The sequence below is a fragment of the Homo sapiens genome, chromosome 1 (genome assembly GCF_000001405.40).
Source record: "Homo sapiens chromosome 1, GRCh38.p14 Primary Assembly".
NCBI classification, from domain to species: domain Eukaryota; kingdom Metazoa; phylum Chordata; class Mammalia; order Primates; family Hominidae; genus Homo; species Homo sapiens.
In genome coordinates, this window is record NC_000001.11 from 32,423,688 (window position 1) to 32,432,797 (window position 9,110).

Consider the following 9,110-nt stretch of genomic DNA (forward strand, 5'->3'; position numbering starts at 1 on the left):
GTCAGCCGAGGAAAAGGACAAGGAGACCCAAAGTCAGGCGGGCAAGTTTTTATTGTCCTGCTGGGCTGCTCCTTGACTAGCAGAGGAGACAGCCCTGCTTACAGGCTGCAACAGGGCTTTACAGGGCAAGGAACTGGGTCGGGGTATGTGAACTGAGTTGGGAGCAGGTGTTCTGCCTGCTTCCTGGAGATGTTTTTGCCAGCTTTGTTAAGCAAGGTTAGCAGACATGTTAACCGCGTCCTGTAACTGTTTGCCAGTTTAGCTGAAATCTTCTGGACAAACAGTTACTGGAGGGGTCAGTGAAAGGGGGTTTGTCTTTTGCCCTGAGGTGGCTGTGTGGAGAGCGCAAGGGACTGTATTGTAAGGCCTGTGGGAAGGAAAGAGAACAGTCTGGTCGGGGTGACCCTAGCATTAGTCAAAGTTGAATTACTTCTGAATATTGAAGACAGATCTAGAGTTGAAAATACCATCTCATCATTCAATGAACTTAAAGTCTGAGGAGAGCTGAGCTGGAGGCTGAGTTGTGGGCTTTTGATGGACTGGAGGAAGTTCATCATTTTCAGGGGTATTTAGCTGCTAAATTATAATCTCTTGCTGGTCTTTCAAATGTTGAAACTGCTCAGGGGACATTAAGGACTGAGCTGGGACCCCCTGTTGTGTTAAAATTTCAACCTGATTAGTGAACTCTGGAGTCATGGAAACCATGTGATCCGCAGGTTTAACAGTGACATTTGCAATGTTGGAGGCTGAACTTGATCATGACTTAGAGGAGAAACTATCACCTCATGATGCTCTGGACATTGAGCTACAACTTCATTAGGGGGCTCTGAAGGCTGGGATGGGGCTTCTTGATGGGTTGGAGAAGACTCAACCTCCTCAGGGATCTGTGGATGCTCAGCTGCAGCCTCCTGCTGGGTTGGAAAGGGTTTCTCATCCTTAATAGTTTCTGGAGATTGAAGTCTACCGTTTAACTGGTAAAGGTCCAGCCTCTTCTGATGACTCTGGAGGCAGAGATGGGCCCCCATGCTGGGTGGCGGAAGGTTCTGCATCATTAATTGGCCCTGAGAGCTGAGCTGTAGCCTCCTGGTGGATTAGAGAAGTTTCCACCTCTTCAGTAGGCTACGTTGCTATGGTGAGCTGCATATCTGGAGACTTAACAGTGACACTGGGCAAATCTGAATGCTGAGCTTGAGGTAAAACTGTTAATTCATGATGTTTGGAGGCTGAGCTGGGATCTCCTCCTGGGCGGGAGAAGGTTCAACCTCTCCAGAAGACTCAGAAGGCTGAGCTGGCTGCTCCTGCTCTCTGGAGAAGGTTCAGGCTCCACAGGAGGACCTGGAGGCTCAGCTGGGGCCTCCTTTTGGGTTGCAGAAGGTTCTACCTCCTCTGGAGACTGGGTTGGGGCCTGCTGCTGGGCTGGAGAAGATTCAGTCTCCTTGGTAGGCTCTGAGGTTATAATAAGCTCTGCATCCACAGGTTTAACTGTAACAGTGGGCAAGTTATAATGAGCTTGATCCTCACCAAGAGGGTGAAGTGTCACCTCATGATTCGGTGGAGTTTGAGCTGCACTCTCCACAGAGGACTCTGGAGGCTGAGCTGGGGCCTCCTGCTGGGTCTGAGAAAGTTCACCTCCCCAGGAAATTCAGAATGCTGAGCTGGCTTCTCCTGCTCACTGGGGGAAAGTTCAGCCTCCACAGGAGGACCTGGAGGCTCAGCTGGGGTCCCTTGGTGGGTTGCAGAAGGTTTCGTCTCCTCAGGGTGCTCTGGTGTCTGAGCTGGGTCCTCTAATTGGGTTGAGGAAGAGTCCACCTCCTCAGGGTGCTCTGGAGGCTGAGCTGCGGCCTGTTCCTGGCTTGACGTAAGTTCCTTACCTGGCTCTGGAGTTACTGTAAGCTCCACATCCACAGGTTTGACTGTGACACTGGGCAAGTGTGAGTGCTGAGCTTCACTCCAACTTTTTTTTTTTTCTTTTTGAGACGGAGTCTTGCTCTGTTGCCCAGGCTGGAGTGCAGTGGCGTGATCTCAGCTCACTGCAACCTCTGCCTCCCGGGTTCAAGCAATTCTCCTGCCTCAGACTCCTAAGTAGCTGGGATTACAGGCGCCTGCCGCCACGCCTGGCTAATTTTGTATTTTTAGTAGAGATGGGGTTTCACCATACTGGCCAGGCTGGTCTCTTGGCCAGGTTGGTCTCGAACTCCTGACCTTGTGATCTGCCCACCTCAGCCTCCCATGCTGGGATTACGGGCAGGAGCCATCGCGCCTAGCTGCTTCACTCCAACTTCTAAATAGAACATTTACCTCATGATGTATTGATGGCTGAGCTACAATCTCTTCGGAGGCAGGTAGCTGCTATGCTGGGGCCTCCTGCTCTGTTGAAGTAGAATAGACCCTCTCAAGGGACTGTGAAGGCAGAGCTGGGGCCTCCTGCTGGGTTGAAGAAGGTTCTACCTCCCCAGGGAGCTGTGGAAGCTGCTCTGGGGCTTCTTGCTGGAGTGAAGAGGACTGGATCTCTTCAAGGTCTCTGGATTTTGAGTTTCGGGCTCTAGGTGAAATTGAAAAAGTCCAACTTGCTCAGGGGGCCCTGGAGGCTCGTCTGAGTTCACCTGGAGTTCTGGGGACAGGGTGCCTGGATACAGTATATCCATACTTCCATCTAAATATCCTGCAAAGTTTGTTTCTGACGCTGAGGTTTTTATACAAATCGGTGTGGAGTTCCAGCCACAACCTTAGCAAGCCTCCGATGCTAAGCTAGACCTTTCTTCAGGTTCTTGGGCCAAACAATAAGCTTCGTTGCTTGTGAATTCTATCCAGAGGTAGAACAAGTATTTCATATGCCTGATGATCTGCAGCCTGATCTAGATTTGCAGTTTTAACCTTACTTTTGAGGCAAAGAGTCCGAGCTAGGGCCTGGTTCTGATCCCAGTCCAGCATTGGGACCACCTCTGGGAGCCTTTCTTGCCGAGTCAGCTTGTCATTCAGATCCTGGTGTGCAGCAACGAACTGCTCTGGCCACGGGGGCAGCTCTCCAGCTGTATCCGTGTCCAGGAATGGAACCAAAGTCTTGGTGAAAGTCTCAGTCGATTCCTGAGGCAGAGCTGACATCTGGGAGGAAGCAGAGGACCCCAGGTATTCAAAGGCCCCGGGTCTGCGTGGTGGGGGGAGGGTAAGCGCATGGGGGCGATTCGGGTGGGAGATCAGAGGAGCGGGAAAACAAGGGCTCATCGGCCACAGGGCATCGGAGATCAGCTGCAGCGGGTCCTGGACCCACTCCAGAGGCTGAGCCGCCTGGACGAGTAGCCACAATAGTTGCTACGTGAGGAGGGGGTCGTGGGAGCCAGAGGCACAGCCGGGACGTGACATGCGCTGGCGCCGCGCACAGAGCTGGAGCCATTCTGGCAGCCCCAAGACGCTAGCGCCCCTAGCAACCGTGGGCACCGCCCCCTCCTTTATAAGCAAATTTTATTAGGTGAGGTCTAGATCCGCTCCGCGTCACCAGGGCGATCTCATCCCACAATCCTGCCCAAGCCTCCCTTCTCGCCCCGCCCCGCAGGAACACTCCTCCCCTCCCCTAAGCGAGGAAGGATTTGGGCAGCAGACCTTGGTGGTCCCAAGACTCCAGCAGCCTATTGTGGTGGTGGTGGTGGTGGTGGTGGTGGTGGTGGTGTAGGGTTGGGTGGGGTGGGGTGCAGGCGCGGCAGAGCTTCCCAAGGAAGTCACGGGACCTCACCTCGGGATATTCAGAGGTGCTAGTCCAGTTCTGGCAGCCTGAATTCTTTCTCCTCCAAGCTGAAATCCGAGAGATAATCTTCCTCCTCTTGGCCAATACGGCTTCCAGGGAAAACAACTGACCTGCAAAATCTGCGCCAGTTAGGGTGGCAGGCAGAACACACATTATGGTCATTTATTCCAAAATGTTGCCATTTTCGCTAAACTTTCGATACCCTTTGTTGCATGTTTGATAATTAATTCACCGCCCTATTAGGTACGGGCTGCCAGGCAACAAGCGAGGACTGCAAATTTTCTGTAGGACAGGTTTTGGGGTGTGGGCAATTCAGTCTGAGAGAGAAGGCCTTAATGCGAGTGAACAGCCCTTTGCACTAGCCTGGGAGGAGGCCAAAATGTCATCCTGCCTTGACTTAACACAGCCTTTACCCTAGAAGCTACAGCGCCACTCTCAGAGGTCTACCCTATGTGCACACATGGAGAAGACGCTTAGGTTGTTAAAGTCAGCATGTTAAATAATTTCCTGAAATGCGACTATAACGAGAACTCAGCTGGCTTCACCCACAGCCATTCTTACCTATTTTATTACTCATTGTCTGGCACAATCACAAAGTGCAGGTGATACTGACACCTACTTTTTAGGGTTTTTTGATGATTTAATTTGATAATGAATGTACACTGCTTTGCAAACAGTGAGCTTTCAATAAAAGGTACCTATTGTAATTCTCAAAAAAAAAGTGCACTATCTTGAATACGCTGAGCAAAGAGACCTATCATTTCCATGCCCTCATGTAGAGGTTTAACTGAAAGAGAAGATTGGGAGGGCACACACATGACAATCTCATCTTAGAAGGACCATGGATGGGGAATTCCATAACCAGAGGCCTCTTCCGGTTTGCTGGTATTCCTCTCCTTGAAAGGTCAGCATTTAATGTTTCCATTATGATGCAACGAGGATGGAAGGCAACATTAGGAGCTGTGGAAGCACAACAATCCATAGACTCTTTAGCCATCGACTGGCCCTCGATGTCCTTACAGCAAAGGTGGGGTACCTGTGCAGTCTTAAATGAAACATGCTGCTTCTGGATAAACACCTTTAGTCAAGTAGAAGAAAACTTACAGATGCTTAAAGATCAAGTAAAAATCATTGACAGGTCAAGAGAAAATGCAGGTTCCAGCCCTGGATGGCTACAATCCCTCTTTAATGAATTCCAGTCTTCTTTGTGGAACTGGTTAGCTCCATTATTAAGCCCTCTCTTGCTCATGTGACCTTGTCTGCTCAATATTATAACTCAAATTGTTTCCTCTTGCCTAGAAGCAATCAAACTCCAAATGCTGCTGCAGACTGAACTATGCATGAGCACGCCTTTCTTCCAAGGACCCTTAGATAGACCTCAGGAGGAGTCCTAGCTGCTGTTCCCCACACAACGCCCCTTTTCAGAAGGAAGTAGCCAGAAAGAGTCATTGCCCAACACTCCCTAACAGCAGTTAGGGTTACCACTCCAGAGCGGGGAATGATACAGGAGTTAAGAAGAAATTACTTAGGCAGATAGTAAGGGTATGGGAGTCCTCGGTAAGGCTTTTCTTTTTAATGAAAAGCAGCCCCAAATCATTAAATCACTTTCTTTCTTTTTTTTTTTTTTTTTTTTTTTTTTTGAGACAGAGTCTTGCTCTGTGGCCCAGGCTAGAGTGCAGTGGTGCAATCTCAGCTCACTGCAACCTCTGCCTCCCAGCTTCAAGTGATTCTCATTCCTCAGCCTCCTGAGTAGCTGGGACTACAGGTGTGTGCCACCACGCCCGGCTAATTTTTGTAATTTTAGTAGAGTCGGGGTTTCACCATGTTGGCCAGGCTGGTCTCGAACTCCTGACCTCAAGTGATCTGCTGGCCTCAGCCTCCCAAAGTGCTGGGATTATAGGTATAAGCCACTGTGCCCGGCCCTCCAAATCATTTTCTAACAAAGAGCAGCCTGCAAGCTGGGAGCTTGCATGGGTGAATGCTGGCAGGAAAGAACTAAGGACTAGACATGTTTAAGATGGCAGCTCCATCTTCCCTTCTCTGCCAGCCACGTGTATTGTAAAGGAGCAGACATGATGGTGCCAATCAACTGGAAAGCCCATTTGCATAGTAAGATTAAGATGAGGCAACCAGTCTTCCCTGTATACTATGTAAATGTCATACCTTATTGAACCAATTAAGCACTACATAAATCAGACACCACCTCCTCAAACTGGACTATAAAACTCAGTGCATTCACCGACAGCCAGTCCTTTTCCACTCGGTCCTTTCCGCTTGGAGACACCTTCCTCCATGGAGGAAGCTGTTTCTCTTTCTCTTCTCTTCTACCTATTAAACCTGCACTCCTAAACTTGTGTGTGTCCGTGTCCTAAATTTTCCTGGCACACAACAATGAACCCCAGCATATATACACCAGATGATGTAGCTGCTTCACTGTCACCACATGGCCTCTAACAACCCAGAATCCTCTCATCCTCCTTGAGGTCAGAGCCATTTCAATGGTGAACCCAACCACAACTATTCTGGGCTTAGAGAGGATGGTCAGGAAAGTGCTTTTTAATGATTTTGGCACTTCCTTCATCAATTGTCCTCTAGCTTTGGTAATGAAGGTGAATTCTGTGCCTTTTCAAGGAATATAATTATTGGGTTGCTCAGCAAGATACATATATAGATTCAGTAAATCATTCTTGCCTCCTGAGGTCTTTAAATTTCTTCCTCTAATTTATGTCAAGAGACTTCCACTGTTGTACAAATTAATGATGGGCCAGAATCATATCCAGGTTTGCATAAACTAACACTTCGAATTTCTACAATAATGGTTGGCAGCTGTCAGTGGGAGAGCATCGGATGCAGAATCGGCCAGTAAGTACACTCGAATCGATAAATTCATTTTGATCTAAAATTATATTCAGATTTGCCTTAGTTGAGAACCTTCCAAATCCACCTCCATAAATAGTCCCCTGCCCTCTCATTAAATAAAGTAGTAAATTCCTGTAATTTTTTTATTTGGGAAGACCTATTCTGCCCTATATTTGTCTACTTTTCAACCCCTAGGACATGCTAGGTGTGGACTTTAGTTCTGGCTAAGGGGGAAAAAGAGACCTGTTTTCTCCAGCAATTAGGATAATTTTCCCAATTAAAGGAGGATCAAATTCTTCAGCAAATTCTACAGGCAAAGGAGAAGGGAACACTTTCTTTCTTTCTTTCTTTTATTTTTTATTTTTGAGATGGAGTCTTTCTCTGTTGCCCAGGCTGGAGTGCAGTGGCACCATCTCAGCTCACTGCAAGCTCTGCCTCCCAGGTTCATGCCATTCTCCTGCCTCAGCCTCCCAAGTAGCTGGGACTATAGGTGCCTGCCACCACACCCTACTAATTTTTTGTATTTTTAGTAGAGACGGGGTTTCACTGTGTTAGCCAGGATGGTCTCGATCTCCTGACCTCAGGTGATCCACCCACCTTGGCCTCCCAAAGTGCTGGGATTACAGGCATGAACCACCACACCCGGCTGGGAACACTTTCTTAGGGCTCAGTAGACAACTCTCAGTAGACAACTCTCTCATTGCATCTCTACTCTCAGTAGACAATTCTCACTAAGAAATCTAACCTAGTCTTGGCTGGGCACAGTGGCTCACATCTGTAATCCCAGGACTTTGAGAGGCTGAGGTGGGTAGATTGCTTGAGCTCAGGACTACAAGACAAGCCTGGGCAACATGGCAAAACCTTGTCTCTACAAGAAATATAAAAATTAGCTAGATGTGGTGGTACACACCTGAAGCCCCAGCTACTGGGGAGGCTGAAGTAGGAGAATCGCTTGAGCCCAGGAGGTCCAGGCTGCACTGAGCCATGATTGGGCCACTGCACTCCAGCCTGGGCAACACAGTAAGACCCTGTCTAAATAAATAAAAATAAAATAAAATAAATAAATAAACAAATTCCAAGTGCCAGAACATTGTGGCTGAGGGCAATTTTCAGAGCCTCTTGTAAAGCAGTATTGATGTCCACAACTCCTGCAGCAATGCCTTCCTCGGCCGTGGTGGTGGGTTACAGGTGAAGCCAAATCTTGAATGCACACAAGCCTCTGCCTCTGCGTCACTACACAGCAGCAGAGAAAGAGTTTTCTAGGCTTTTTTTAAAAATTGAAGTCAAAGTCATGCAACATACAATTAACTATTTTAAAGTGTACAATTCAGTGGCATTTAGTGTATTCACAATGTTGTACACCAGCAACTCTCCTTAGTTTCAACTTTTTTTTTTTTTTTTTTTTTTGAGACAGAGTCTTGCTCTGTCACCCAGGCTGGAGTGCAGTGGTGAAATCTCAGCTTACTCCAACATCCACTTCCCAGGTTCAAGCAATTCTCCTGCCTTGGCCTCCCAGGTAATGGGGATTACAGGTACCTGCCACCATGCCCAGCTAATTTTTACAGGTGCCCAGTAGAGATGGGGTTTTACCATGTTATTCAGGCTGATCTCAAACTCTTGACCTCAGGTGATCTGCCCTCCTCAGTCCCCCTAAGGGCTGGCATTACAGGCGTGAGCCACTGTGCCTGGCCCATTTCAACATTTTTTACTACTCTAGAAAAACATCCCATCCCCATTAAGTAATTATTGCTCATTTCCCCCTCCCCCATGCCTTGTTAACTGCTAATCATCTTTCTGTCTCTATGGATTTGCCTATTCGGGATATATCATGTGTGATGTTAATTTTATGTGTCAACTTGACTGGATCAGGGGATTCCCAGACATCTGGTTAGACATTATTTCTGGGTGTGTCTTTAAGGGTATTTCCAGATGAGATTAGCATTTGAATCTCTGGACTCAGTCAAGCAGCTTGCCTTCCGCAGTGTGGGTAGGCATAATCTAATTTGTTGAGGGCCTAAATAGAACAAAACTCAGAGCATGGAAGAAGTCAGTGTCAGGCCTCTGAGCCCAAGCTAAGCCATCATATCCCCTGTGACCTGCACGTACATATCCAGATGGCTGGTTCCTTGCCTTAACTGGTGATATTCCACCACAAAAGAAGTGAAAATGGCCAGTCCTTGCCTTAAGTGATGACATTACCTTGTGAAAGTCCTTTTCCTGGCTCATCCTGGCTCAAAAACTCCCCCACTGAGCACCTTGCGACCCCCACTCCTGCCCGCCAGAGAACAAACCCCCTTTGACTGTAATTTTCCTTTGTCTACCCAAATCCTATAAAACGGCCCCACCCTTATCTCCCTTCACTGACTCTCTTTTCGGACTCAGCCCACCTGCACCCAGGTGAAATAAACAGCCATGTTGCTCACACAAAGCTTGTTTGGTATTCTCTTCACACGGACGCACATGAAATTTGGTGCCGTGACTTGGATTGGGGGACCTCCCTTGGGAGATCAAT

General features: G+C 48.1%; 1 pseudogene, besides 1 other annotated feature; it reads right to left on the reverse strand.

Annotated features, from left to right (window-relative positions):
• LRRC37A12P (leucine rich repeat containing 37 member A12, pseudogene) lies at positions 789-2,850 on the reverse strand (annotated as a pseudogene).
• Positions 8,193-8,522: an enhancer, noted in NCBI's record as "active region_691". NCBI's record gives its function as "activates an Ori minimal core promoter by ATAC-STARR-seq in GM12878 lymphoblastoid cells {active_cell/tissue: GM12878}" and the evidence as "EXISTENCE:reporter gene assay evidence [ECO:0000049][PMID:35858748]".